This window comes from Homo sapiens, chromosome 8 (genome assembly GCF_000001405.40).
Source record: "Homo sapiens chromosome 8, GRCh38.p14 Primary Assembly".
Lineage (NCBI taxonomy): Eukaryota > Metazoa > Chordata > Mammalia > Primates > Hominidae > Homo > Homo sapiens.
Window position 1 is genome coordinate 54722043 of NC_000008.11, and position 14627 is coordinate 54736669.

General features: G+C 36.0%; 1 protein-coding gene across 8 annotated transcripts in view; it reads left to right on the top strand.

Annotated features, from left to right (window-relative positions):
- RP1 (RP1 axonemal microtubule associated) overlaps positions 1 to 14627 on the top strand; it is a 312050-nt gene that overhangs the window by 162858 nt on the left and 134565 nt on the right. For 7 of the 8 annotated variants that reach the window (XM_047422069.1, XM_047422070.1, XM_047422072.1 and 4 more), the window contains 2 exons: positions 4303 to 4434; positions 12503 to 12702. In XM_047422069.1, the coding sequence (XP_047278025.1) occupies positions 4303 to 4434; positions 12503 to 12702 (332 nt within the window). The remainder of the gene's footprint in view (positions 1 to 4302; positions 4435 to 12502; positions 12703 to 14627) is intronic. The other variant, XM_047422071.1, reaches the window with a different exon arrangement.

Sequence of the window (14627 nt, forward strand, 5' to 3'; positions counted from 1 at the left end):
GACCGGCCTGGCCAACATGGTGAAACCCTGTCTCTACTAAAAATACAAAAATTAGCTGGTCGTGGTGGTGCACGCCTGTAATCCCAGCTACTGGGAGAAGAATCACTTGAACCTGTGAGGCGGAGGGTGCAGTGAGCTGAGAACGCTCCCCTGCACTCTAGCTCCAAAAAAAAAAAAAAAGTTTATAGTAATTCTCCAAGTCATTTTATTATTTTAGAATGGTTTTTTTTTTTGTGTGTGTGTGTGTGTGACGGAGTCTCATTCTGTCCCCAGGCTGGAGTGCAGTGGCGCTATCTCGGCTCACTGCAAGCTCCACCTCCCGGGTTCACGCCATTCCCCTGCCTCAGCCTCCCGAGTATCTGGGACTACAGGCGCCCGCCACCGCGCCCAGCTAATTTTTTGTATTTTTCGTACAGACGGGGTTTCACCGTGTTAGCCAGGATGGTCTCAATCTCCTGACCTCGTGATCCGCCCGCCTCGGCCTCCCAATAGAATATTTTCTAACTAAACTATCTACATATGATAGATTGAGCCTACACTATGCCAAAAAAGTTCACTCCCCAAAACATTTGGGAGTTTTGAATTGTTTATATTTTAATACAGAGATAGAGCAGCCCCCGAAAAAGTTAAGCTGAAACTTTTTTTTTCAGCTTAAACTTTTCCTCATAGTTGTCTAGAAAGCAGAGTTAAAGTTGTGAGGCACCCTGACTGATAAGGGGACTTGGATAGGGTAAGAGATTGTGGTAGGAAGAGAATCTAAGTTTACATCTCAAGAGACTCCACCTGTTGCCCCCAGACATGCAATCTGAATGAGTGTGCACCTCAAGTAAATGTCTACACGCTGCCTGGTCTGACATGGCACACCATCACGTGGAGGGCACAGCTCTGCTCAGCCTACAACGAGGGCAGTCTCATTGACAGGTTCCACCCACCAAACAGCAAGAGGCTCAGAAGTATAGCAGGGTAGAGGGACAAGGGTGGGATTTCAGCACACAAGCTCTGAGAGCCAGACTGCCAGTGTCCAGGTCCTGGGTGCGGGGAGCTTTTGCCAGTGGTATGCTTTCACAGCTCTTGGACCACCTGCCTCTGTTCTGTCAAATGAGGACCAAGAGTACCTTCCCTCAGTTGTGGTGTGAGAATTACGTGAATTAACATATGTAAGATGCTTAGAATAGTGTCTGGTACTCAGCAAGTGCTGTGCAAGTATTTGCTGTTATGATTATTAAAAAGAGGAAGAGCACTTCATGGCATTTTTTTTATCACTTAAATAGAGTCGATAGATTTCTAAAAGACAAGAGATTCCGTCTCATCACCTCTTTTAATCACTTTGCATATTTCCTTTCTCTGTGATTGATTTTTTTCATCTACAGTTTGGTAAGGATTTGGTTTAATTTACTGTGTATTGGGAATTTATAATACAAGTCATTTATCCCACTACCATTTAACTGTTCTTGCTAGCTTGTGCAGTAAAACCTCTTCACTCTCTATTTTCATGAATTTATATTCGCAGTGTATACATGAGAAAGTGTGAAAAGATCTGACCCCTTGGGCTTATGTGATTAGTTATTATACTGAGCCCATGGAGAAGATTCTCCATTGATTATCCGGATATGTGGGTGATTTGAAAGTTTTCTTCATTCTGTTCCTCCAGATAATAAGCCTGCATTTATAATTCCGTAGAGTAAGACCACACTGCTAGGTATTGTTTTAAAAAACTGTAGATCAATATAACATGTAACTTTTTGCTAACTTCAGTGTACTATTACTTTTATAGCATACTTAGGAAAGAGTGAACCTATCTATGTTTTTAGAAGTATTTTAAGAGATACTTGACTTTTGCACAGAAATTTGCCTCCTCTTGCTCTAATTCCAGCCCAGTTTTATGGTATGAGCCATCCTCTGTATATAAATCATGAGACTCTGGCTATTAGTAACCCCTCAAAAATGCAGGACTGAAGATATGGTTCAGATGTTACTTTTTTATTACAATAAGAATTTCTTTCAGGTTCAAGTCTTATGGAAGTTTGCATTAAAATATGTTTGGACATTTTATTTTTGCTTCATTCTAGTCTGCTAAGATCATTCAAGCATAAAAATCTAAATGAAATACTGTCATATATCCAATTCATAAAATTCTGACTATGTATATTACGGTCTTAGAAAAATATGACAAAATATGTTTCAGATGATAAAATAGACTATATGGGTTTAAAACATATATGCACTAATATGACACTATAATAATTGCTATTATGTAAGTTTTCACTTGTTTTACTTTTAAAATAGAAGGTATTCAATAAAACAAAAGACTTTTCCTAGTTGATTTTGTAGATTTACTGCCTTTATAGTCTGGTAGATCTTGATATAGCTTAAATTTTGGATATAATGAGGTACTACCTGAAGTGAGTCACTAATCATCCAAATCCAGCTGTATATGTAACATACACCTTTTGATAACATCTCTACCTAGACAGCTCTGGTTCTTTCACCTTCACCACAGGTTTTGTTTTACATTGCTAGTGATACAGTTTTCACTTTTTTTTTTAAATTGTAAAAGTCAGACAAAGGGCTACTAAGGGTTGCTACAATTCAGAGTATTGTATTATTGGAGGGTCACTTTGGTACTTGGCTTTTGAACATCTTTCTGTAACCCACCTGGCCTAAAGACAAAATGGGAAGCCTTCTCTACAGAGCGATAGGAACTTGCTGGATGACATTTCCAGAAAATGTCTTCCACTTTCTGAATTCCATACTACTGTGTTGTATAAAGAGATATTGGTGTACTTTTTGAGAAGTGGAGGTAGAATTAATGAGAAGCCAGTGTGGGGAGGATAGAGAGGTAAAATGCTCATTCTTGTTTCACAGTTCTGCATAGACTGGCCCTGTTGTGCAACCCTTTTTGGGCTTGTTTCTAATGGACTGGCACATTAATTGTTTTCTCCTCTGTGCTCCCTATGCACGTTGTGCTTGTGTCAGTTAAAGCGCTCATCAGTATCTATCAGAGGTCATGTTTATGTGGTCTCTCTCTGGGCTGTAACCCCATCAATGTCAGAAGCCATTTCTTATACATTGATTTGTTCCTCATGCTATACAGTGACTGGAAGATAGTTTATCTCTTTGTAGATCCTGAATTTCTATATTACATTGGTAAATGAACTCTTAGTTATATATAAGAATCTTAAATTTTTTTCCTCTACAATTATTTATTTATTCTCCATGAACATATTTCTAGTTATTTCTATCTTCTTTTTAATGTTTTAAAGTTCCTTTATTATCGATTTTTAGTGTCTCAGCATTGCATTGTATATAAACCATATGGAAAAACTATGTTTTAAAAGGATTAGTATTTAAAAGCTTATTATTGTCTGAAATGATATCTTATAACACCTGAAGGATATAAATAACAATGTAATCATGGGCAGTTCTTCAGCCACCAGTATTGTATAGTCTGCACCATCACTCTGTGTGATAAGTGTCGCTAATTTCTACTAAGCATACCTTTGAGGTTGTTATGCTTTCTTACTGTGTGAGTCATCTTACATCGTTGACTGCAATTGTGGTATTAAGAAGTAGTTGTTCTTACTCTTTATCTTATAGAATCAGAAATTTACATAATTTTTTGTTGCTGATGAGAACTCTAAAGCCATTCATAGTGTGAATTACCACCATTTAAAAACTCAATATGCCTATGCCTGATCCTAGAAAATGAACACAAACAACTTGAATTTGAAATCCTAAATATAAATAACACTTAGGAGCATATACTATAAAGTTGAAGTCATTATTTAACTTAGAGATACCTATTTCTAAACAAGACTCCAAAACAACTTGCTTCTAAGTAAAAGGTAGAAAAGTAGCTAATGTTTTCCATTACTTATAGATATGTGTATATTTTGTTGATTCATGTATTTCAGTAAGGTCACATGAAATCCTGTTTGAATGACGTTTTAGTTTCCCCTTTTGAGGAAGGCAAAGAACAAGATTGTTAAAGAAGTTCCCATTTAGAATCTATAAGAAAAACATTTTGAATAAGTTGTTTGATTCATATTGTGATGTTAACTATCGTTCGGATTTGCAAAGCAATGAGTAGGTTTTATAGGGATGCCACCCATGCACAGCCTGCTGGTAAGAATAAGAAGTCATTTTCTGTTAACTATGTAATTCTGAGTAAAGAGATTTGACTAGGCATTGAAATGGAAACAATAGCAAAAATTAAACTTGCATAGCTGAACATATGATGAGTATTCTGAGAAGAAACAAGTGATTTTGAAAGGATGGCATCTTTTAAAATCTTAATTTCAGTTGGCAGAGAAAACCCAATGGGAATGTCTGCAACACCCAGCCAAGAAGAAGAAAAGATCCATGAGTCAAAAAAACAGAAAAAAATACCCCCAGAATCTGAGGCTAGGAGTCCCTTACCTTCTTCAACTGCAAGTAAGCCACAGCTTTTGCTTTCATACTTTTGGTTTGTTTGCTGCATTATTTCTTCCTGTGGCCATTGCAGGAAGACTATTAAATTATTTTTACAGCATATATTATGTTATACCACATGGACTGCTTGTAAGCTGTTATCTTGCTTTTTTATGCCTTAAGTTTTATATTATAAAGAATACATATATTTTTAAATGTGTTTCTTTGTCTTAAATTTAATGTTCACCCAGAACAATGAGTTGAAAAGAAGATAGTATTAAATTATAACATCAATTGGACTATCACCTACAAAATATTTTATGAATATATTTTATGAAAAACAGTAAATTCTCACTAAAGTCTAAGCAATGAAAAAAATAATTTCTATTTCTCTGGTATAGAAACTGAAGCTTAAAAAAAAGTGCTCTCGGTCCCAGAGGCTTAAATTCCTAGTTTCTATATTGGTCCATTTGATAATTTTTGTTGCTCTTAAATGTATTAACTTTTATCTGACGGGAAAGTATAATATATGATATCTGACAAATTCCGTGTATCAGAATCTAGTCATCTTTGGATAAGATGAAATAGGGGACCATCTCTGGGGGACCATTTTTTTAAAACCCGTCTTGGGAGACAGATAAATTATAATGTTACCTTTAAAAAAGTGATTTTTAAAAATTAGTTATTGGGTATGCTAGCTTTTCTTTTAGATAGTAATATAATAGACGTCTCTTGTTGACCATCCTAAGCTATTAGCTCATGAACATAGGGAAGAGAAATTAGCCTTTTGATTTTTGCTGCAAAGGACTAGTCTCAGTTTTTTATTTCCATGTCATGTCTTGAATCCATGGAGCAGTGTGAAGAATCACACTGAATGAGAAATATGTGCTTAGTTAAAATTTCTCACAGCAGAATTCAGTCTTGTGTCAGGAAGTAATGGTATCTAAATCAGGGATGGCCACCTCAAGTAAAATTTGAATTGGTTGAAAATAGCATGCTAGCCGAAATCCCTGGGGGATAGATACTTTTTTAATGAGTGGCAAAATGCTTATGAGAAAACCTTCTATATGTCTTATGAAAATTTGTTCTGGCAAAAATATTTTTTAAATGTTACCATTATGAAATTTTTAAGGATTTTTTTTACTGAGGCTGGCCAAGTAATTTGTAAAAATGACAAAATTAGGCTTCATGATAAACATAGACCTTTTCAAATAATTATTTCATTTAATTCAACATTAAATATGAATTGTGTGCCCATTAAATGTCAGATGTTATAGGTAAAACAGACTTGGTCTCTACCCTCTTGAATTTGATAGGTGAGCTGTTCAGATAAACATTAAACAATCACACAAAAATGGAAGGCTAAAACCTGATAATTGAGATGAAGGAAATATCCAGAGCATACGAGACACAAAATAAAATTTAAGTCAATAATTAATTGTAAAAAGACTTATAAGTTCTTCATTGTGGTTAATGGCAATACAGCAGAAATGGAGAGTGGGCCAAAGACTGAGAAAATGGAGACTGAGCTCAGTTTCTTCATGAACTTTTTAAAACTTTGACCTGTCACAGATTTTGGCCCTGGATATGAAATCTGGGAAGTCCAGATGATGAAGCTCCTCTAAGGCAAATGCCACTTATAAAATGCCCATGATATGGTTAAATTTTGCCTTCTCTGATTGCAGTGGGAGTGGTTTTATAAGCACCCATGATTTTAAGTGAGGAAAAAATGTCTTTATGTATGAATATTTCCCTAGAAGTCTCTCTCTCATCTGTTACTGAGTAATTAGATCATGATTCCCTTTAGTTGTCTTTTTTCTACCTCTATCAAAGGACTGCAATAGTTAAAAAGTTGCTTCTTGCAAGAAATACCTTCCTCTTGGTTTTGCACCTTAGCTGTCAAGACAGATTTGGGTTGCATTAGCCATTCATATTAAAATATGTTAGTTGAAAAACACTTTAGAAAACTTATTTTCTACTTTTAAAGATATCTAAAACCAAATATCAGTTCCTTAAGAATGAGACTATGTTTGTCCACCCACTTTTGGGATAGGGCAAGATGTATAGTTTTGGGAATGAGAAATTATAGACAAAATAAAACTGTTCTGTCTTCATTCAAAATGCTTATTTATTAAGAAGAAAGATGGAACTTTTCTCATCTACATCAAAAGGGCAAGAGGATTTAGAACTTAAAATAGCACATATATGATAAATAGTTATTTTGTAGTAGTTAAGTAGAGATATAGTGTCATTAAATTTGCAAGGCTGTCATTTAGGTCTAAACTGCATTATGATATTAATTTTGTTAGGGTGGTGGGGTTGAGGAAGGAATCTTATTTTTTTAGAATAATCTTTTTATTATGGAAAATTTTAAACACACACAAAGGTAGAGATAATGGACAAATGAACCCCCATGTACCCATCACTCAGCTTCAACAATGATCAACATAGACGTAGTTCTGTCTTAGTTATGGTCCTTCCTGCTATGCCCTACAATGTCCTCATTTAATTATTTTAAAGCAAATATAAGACACCATATTATTCATAAATACTTCAGAAATGCCATATTTTAAAAATTATTTAAGTGAGAATATACATTACTTCTGCATAATTTTAAGTTTGGAAACACTGCATTTAAACACATTCAAACCGAATATAAAAAGAGAAGACTTATGATTTGATGCTCTGAACTGAAATTGCCCTTAGATATCTTTCCGGCAACTACCTATTTCTATAAATGAGAAAATCAAGACCCAGGAAGATGAATGTTATGCAGGTCTCAGCTCCAGTCGCTTGTCTCTGTGCATGGGCACTTGAACAGTGCAGTGCAGCCATCCTGCCAGTCCATCATCTGTTTGTGGTGGCATGTTCTACAGTGTTGCCAGGCAAATCCTAATCTGTGCCAAAGTCTCAGCCATGGCATTTTCTTTCCTAAATATGTTTAGGTGCCAATACTTTAAAAACAAATAAACCTGGGCAGAAAAAAAATCTATTATTAAGTTGAAGTCTTCCTTAAAAACAGCAGTCAGTAAATTCTGAAAAATCTTGGGTAGTCATGTTTGACTAAAAATAATTTCATTCCGAAAAAAAGTAGAACACATCAAGCATACAGGAAAATCTTAAAATTATATCAACTTACTACTCCCCCAAAGAGCACTTTAAAATCTATTTATGCTTGTGCATATATGTATGTATATACACTTGTAGATTATATTAAATATATCATTTTGTAACCTTCTCAGTTAATAGAAGGTACTAATCATTAAAGAATTTTTCATAATAAATATTTTAAATAAAATTTAATAACTACAAATAATCCATTTTGTTGACGTAGCATAACATATTTACCTATTTTCTTATTATAATTTGTAATGGATGCTCATCTATATATTATTTCATTAGAATAATTCCCATAAATGGAATTACAAGATAATGAATTATATTAATGGTTATTCTTGTTGTAATTTTTGTGTCCTTTTTAATATAAAAAATAGCACTTGGCATCCAGAGTGAACTATAGTTTTATTTTTTTTAATGCTTGTGCTGTTGTAAATTATATATTGTAAAGGTAGTGTAAGTTTTCGTTCATCATAGATTGAGGATTTGAAGGGACCTCTGACACATCATAAGCAACATAGAGGTTCACAGGAAGAGTGCAGAAATAAGCCATTCCATTTCAGATAATCCTAATCACTTGAAAGTACCTCCCTATGTTGAGCAGAAAAACTACCCATAAATTCTTTTGGCCTATAAAAAAGTCAATATCTTCTTCTATAAAACAACCATTGTTGTTTTTTCTTAGTATATTCTCATTTCCTCTTAGTATATTCTTCTTATATGTATATAAATATACCAAAAGTGGATTCTTAGTATTTCTCTTTAGTATATTCTCATCTGTGTCAAATATATTGCTTTAATAATTTCTTCTTATATATGGTTTTAGACTCTTCACCTTTATGAATATTTCTCTTAAAGTGTGAATCTCCAAGTAGGAACCTGTCTTCTCATATAATCTGAACAGTTTAGAATAATGGTATTCCTTTTATGTGACCTTATACATCAGTTAATACAGTCTCAGCTTGGAATACATGTTTTGGGCATTTTTATTGCATTTCTGGTTTATATTAAGATCATTAGGATATTTTATTCATAATATCCTTTCAGTGTAAAACATATAACTGATCTTTCAACCAAGACACAGACCTTTACCTTGATCCTGGTTAGTTTTTATCTTCTTGGTATTAATCCAATGGGCAAGCATGTTAGGATGCCTTTGATTATGTGATCCTGTTTTCTGTGTTAGTTATCTCTACCAGCTTTGTGCATCCTGTGCTTTGTATCCCTTAATTGAGAAACTGGAAATTTATGAATAAAACAAGACTATGTTAATTTTGTAGAAATAGATTTCATCTATTGCAAGATAACTATAGGGGGATGCTTTCACTGTCTTATTTTTTGCAGATTATATGTTTTGAAATTAGGGTTTAAATATCTGATATTACACTATCAGATATTAGGACACATTTGTTTTCAGTTGTTTTCAATGACATGTTAGAATAAATCAGTTTTCTCAAATACTATCTTGGAATAGCATATAGAGGCTATAAAATCTGTCCTTTTATGGCCACACTCTGATGGTAATTCATGCTTTATGCTGACCTTAACTTTAATCAACCCATGAACTATTAGAATCAGCTAGTTTATTACTTATTTCTACAAGTAATTTATTTTTTTCCACTAGAGCTTCAGTGGACTAGCAGCAACACAAAGTAGATTAACATTTTTTGTTTTTTTGGTCTGAGTCAACCTGATTGGTGTTTAATTAAATTGTTCAGTCACCCTCACAGGGCATGTTTTTGAGTCATCTGTATAATCTTAGGTACCACAGATTTTATTCAGGGTGACCGAGAAGGAGTCTATTGACTAATCCAGGGTCCCCATTAAATATTCTCCTAGCTTAGAGTATTTTAAACTTCTGGTCAACAAAAGCAACTGCTTTTATGGTTCTCAGTTCTCAGCAGAAATTTATAGTCTGAGACTAATGGACGTTGGTTATTTCCAAAAGATCATGGTATTACATGGTGTTCATATTTAATTGATAACAGTACAAACTTTAATACATCATTCTGCATTATAGATTATATCATATTTAGCCATCAATTTTTATAATATGAGTGTACCCTGACAATGTGTTATTTTTGTGCAAATGATGCAAGAACATGTTAATGCAGGAATAAGGGGCCTTAGAGGCTGTCAACTCATTTGCAGATTAAATCAAACAAACAAGCTGAACACATACACACATAGATTTGTGTTCATTCATGCACGGACATGGAAAAAAAATTCAGACTAAATAACTGTGGTCTCTTGATTTCATTTCAGAGTTTGTTTCTTTGTATGTTTGTTCACTGTCTAGTGTCTATTGTTTGTTCACTGGCCTTCTTACCTCAGTCTGTCCCTGCTACAGTTCACCCTGTTTCAGACCGATCTTTCTAATACTTAGCTCAGACCACCACCATACTTTAAAATTGTGACTGGCTCTCTGTTGCTTGCAAAAGGATTTGCCAACTCCCTTCCAGCTTGGCCAGTGCCTTCCACGATCCTCACATTTCTGTCTCTCCTCTTCACACATAATATCTTGTGTTCAGCTGAACATTGGCACCTGCAGTTCTTCCAGCATGCCTGCTGCTGCAAGCCATGCACATGCTGGGAATGCTGTCCCCTCTGTTTAGAATGCTCTTCCTGTCTTTCTGCGAAATTCTGAGCCATATTCCTACATCCAGCACTAAGGTTTCCTCTGTGAAGCCTTTTCTGCCCACTCCTCAATTACTCACTTCCTGCCCTCCGCTACACCTGAACTTTTCAGTAGTTTTTTATTTGTTTGTTTGTTTTCCATGAAGGTATTTGAATATTTGAAATCCAGATATTTATATGTCTGTTTTCACCACTGGATAGCATGTATCTCCAGGGTGAGACTCTCATTAGTTATCTTTCAAACTTTTCATCAGTTCTGTTATTATGAGAGCAATGAGCCCAACACAATGCCCAGCAAATAATAGGAACTAAAGTTTTCTTTAGTTGAGTGAAAGTGATTCTTTTAGATGAATAAGATATCCATAAGATAGTAAGTAAGTGAATGATCGACATCCTAAAATGTCAGCCATTGACCTAGGATCACCAGTTTCTCTCTGGAACTCATGGATGTGCTGTGGAGTCTTTGTCAGTAGAGATCTGGTAATGCAATTGCCTGGGCCTGAGGAAATTCCAAGTGTGTTTGACTAGAAATGTCAGGCACAGTGGCCAAATGTTCACATGTAACACTGAGTTTTGAAAATTAGATCATGCCATAAAATTTTGTTGGACCAATTTTTGTGATCATTTCTGGGTCAGCTACTTCTGATGTAAATGGCATGGGATTCACACTTGCTCTGCCTGGGTTTGAAGTTTAGTTCCCTGTTACTTCCTGTGTAACTCTGGGCAAGTCACTTCACTTCTGAGTCCCAGTCTGTCCATCTGCTTAATAGGGGACAGCACCTCACAGGAGTAGTATGAGGGTTGAGTGAGAGTGACATGATGATGAATGTTAAGTGCTTAGGGTAGTGTGCAGCGCAGAAGAAAACCTCAGATGCTAGCAGCACTGCTGCATCCTGGTGAATTATGTTTAGGTGAACACGGAATGCCTATCAAGCTTGTTTAAGTGCAGGTGCGTTGCAGTTAAACATCCCATAGTTTACTTATTATGTGACTTGGCTATATTATTTAACTTCCCTGCTTCTTTTCCTCTTCTTAAAATGAGCATCATAATTTGACTCACCTTATGAGTTTGGAATGAGGATTGAATGAGAAATGCATATGAAACATGCAACACAGAACCCTGCATATAATAGGAGCTTAAAAACAATTAAATTGTTCAGTCACTCCCACAGAGATTACCCAGAGCTGTTATACTGACAGAGATTACTCAGCACATTCTAGAGAAAGAAACTTTTAAAAATGAATGTCAGTTCTTTCATAGCATTTGTTTTTATTTATATATTTTTGCATGGTTTTTATTTTAAAATTAGTTCATTATAGCTTAGCAGGAAGAATTTCTTATTTTCTAGACTTGTCATCATTGTTGGTAAGATCCTAAGTGCTGCCGAGGGCTGCCTATAGTTTCAAGCTACAGAATTAAAGGAAGGAGATCAGCTCTGGCTACCTTTTAACCATTTGACATGAAGAACTTTTGCCTCATCATCTTGGGTATATAAGATTTCAAAGTGGAAATATCAGTTAAGAATTAAAGTGCATTTGGGGTACTTTCAGACAACCCGTGCAGAGTAGCTTGGGAGATGCCCTCAGCATTGTCTGGCCCAGTATCTCCTCAGATGAGACCACAGGCGAAAGGGAGTGTGAAGAAGACAGCCATTCTAGCTTGGGATGTCATGGCATTCTTTACAAACAGGAGTGACTGTGTTTGGGCACTGCTGGTTGCTAGAGGATGCATTGTGAAACACAAGTGCTTTGCATCCCTGCTGTCATGGACAACTGCTCTGAGCACCTCAGGAACCATTTGTATGTGTGAAAATTCTCTCTTTAGTTCCAAATCCTTTCCATTGCCCACGCCAGTAAGGTATTTTTTAATTTTTTCAGAAATATTTCAGAAAATTTTTCTTTGCCCTCAATTTGCCACTTACCTATTTTATGTGAAAACATGTTTTAATTCCCCTTTTTTGTTACTTTATATGGTGGTAGTTCTATATAAAATATGTAGGTCAAGCAGGCAGCTTTATGAAAAATCTGTGGCCATGGGACAGAAACTCCAGTTTGCCTTCCTGTGCTATAGCATTGAGGATAAGTGAAAGATTGCCATGTAGGTCAGATGTTTATTGTTCGAATCCAGTTTACTTCGGTGATTGAGTTTCAGTTGACCAGAACCTTGCTGTGAGGAGACAAGCGCAAATCAGCTCCCTGGAGTCTTCACAGTGCAGTGCCTCCTGCTTGCTTCACCCTACCCTGCCCAGTTTTCATGTCCTTTGGCTCCAGTGTGACAAAGGATTCTGTCAGCCTGATGTTATATCTGATCTGCCACTAATGCTTTTTTCCCCCATAGAAGAAATCAGACATTTCCAAAGTAGTGAGACTCTTCTGTCAGAAGATGAATGGAAGGTGTTAGTGCTGACAGGAAATACAGGAACTCAAGCCAATGTCACTCTCTGGGTGTATGGAGATAAAGGAGTCACTGGGCCAATAAGTCTTCGCAAGGACAGCTCAGAGCAGCTCTTCCTTCCAGGACACGAGGATGAGTTTCAGGTAAACAACACTGGCAGTAATATTTTCCTGTGAACATTTCAAAGACATTTCTGTAATGTAGAAGTGTGTGTGTGTGTGTGTGTGTGTCTCCTATATAAAATGAACCTCTGGTCTTTTAGAATGCCTGTAAGTTAATAATGCTTATTGTAACAATCAAAGGAAATATTTTTGCTCACATATCTTATTCAAGCAAGGAAAGTTGTAGAAAAATTTGCTTTCTTTAAAGACAGTTTATTTTAGGCCATGGGTTTGAAACTGGCCCTATAAACTGTCAACTTCAACTCAATTTATAACCGGCTTATAAGCTGTATAGAGATTATTCTGGTAATGAAAACTCTTCTTTTATATACTTGCATATACTTATAGATGTTGCTCAGCTGAGCTATACAGGTCTGAAATTATTTTCTTTTTATAAAATTATTTTTCATCTTTTTAATTAAAAAAGTCTTGAGAATGAAATCATTTCCTTGGCATCTTCACAGGCCATGTTTTGAAGCTTTGCCCATGCCCATTTCTAATTTCTCTCTCCTTTACTTCTTAGAGTCAGAGAGCACTGGGCTGCTTAAGTTTGCATGTAGCTGGTTGCCTCTCCTTGTTCCTCAGAGCTTTGGCCAAGTTTCAATTAGGACAATTACATTCCACTTCACTAATTCACCCTTCCAGCCCCACTGCCTGTGAAAGCTGTGTGGCTCTTTGGTGTACTGTTAAACAGCAGTCATTTTCTCTGGAGGGTATTCCTTTTGCATCCTAAGGCTGGCTAGAGAATAGAGAATGATTGAGGACAACTCATGTCACCAGGAACCCAAGGCTATTTGGGGCTACAGTACCTGGCAATCACTAATACTCAAATGGTTTCTAGATTCTTAGACCTGAGCCTGTCATTCTACTTTTGTAATCATTAAAGTTAATTTTCGCTGAAGAAAAGCAGTTGTCTGCAGTTGTGGAGGAGCACTTTGGCTCCTTGCACAGGCAGCCATACCTTATACAAATACATATTTCAAAAGATTATTTGAAGATAATTGTTTAGAATTCAGAATGTGTATGTATGGTTAGATCCTTAAGTCACCCCACAAAAGTCTAATTTTCTCATAATATACCTTGTGGTATATGTATTTATATGCTGATAAATCCTATCAATGTTTTTCTGAAAAATTTACTTAGGGTCAAATCTTGGAATGGATGGTATAGATTCTCAGTCTTGATTGCACATTGGAATTACCCAGGGAGCTTTAAAAACTACTGATGCCTGATTCCACCTCCAGAAATTCTAGTTTAATTTGCCTGAGGTACAGTCTGGGTATTGAGGTTTTTAGATGTTCCCCAAGTGATTCTAAAGTGCAACCAAGGTTGAGAATCCTGGATATAGCACTAGACTGCAAATCGGATGAGCTAGATTGGAGTCCTTGCTTCCCACATGTTAGTTATGTGACCTTGAATATGCCACTTAATTTCTCCAGGCCAGCACTATCTTTATGTATAGAATACAGGCAATAAGATCTTTTCTTTCTAAATTTTAAGGTATTGTGATGACAAAAAGAGAAAATGTGTATAAATTAAAAAAGGAATCCTATTGACATACGGTAAAACTCATAAACTGGTTAAGAACAGAAGCCTTGGAGTCAGAGACCAGGTTCAAATCACCCTCTCACTAGTTCTGTGACGTTAAATAGACTGATTATCCTTACTAATCCTCAGTATCCTACTTAGCACAAGGTGGGTAATAATACTCACTTAAAAGCCTTGCTGTGTAGTTTAAAGAATGCCTGGGAAGGTGTGTGCCGTGCGCTGCACCTGGTAGATGGGAAGTGCTCTACAGATGACAGATTACAGGCACCAAGGACTCCCTCTGCTGGTAAATGGCTCAGGATATGTTTTCTACTGGCCTCTGTCATTTACTGTGAAGTGTGAATAGCTTTAGATTATTA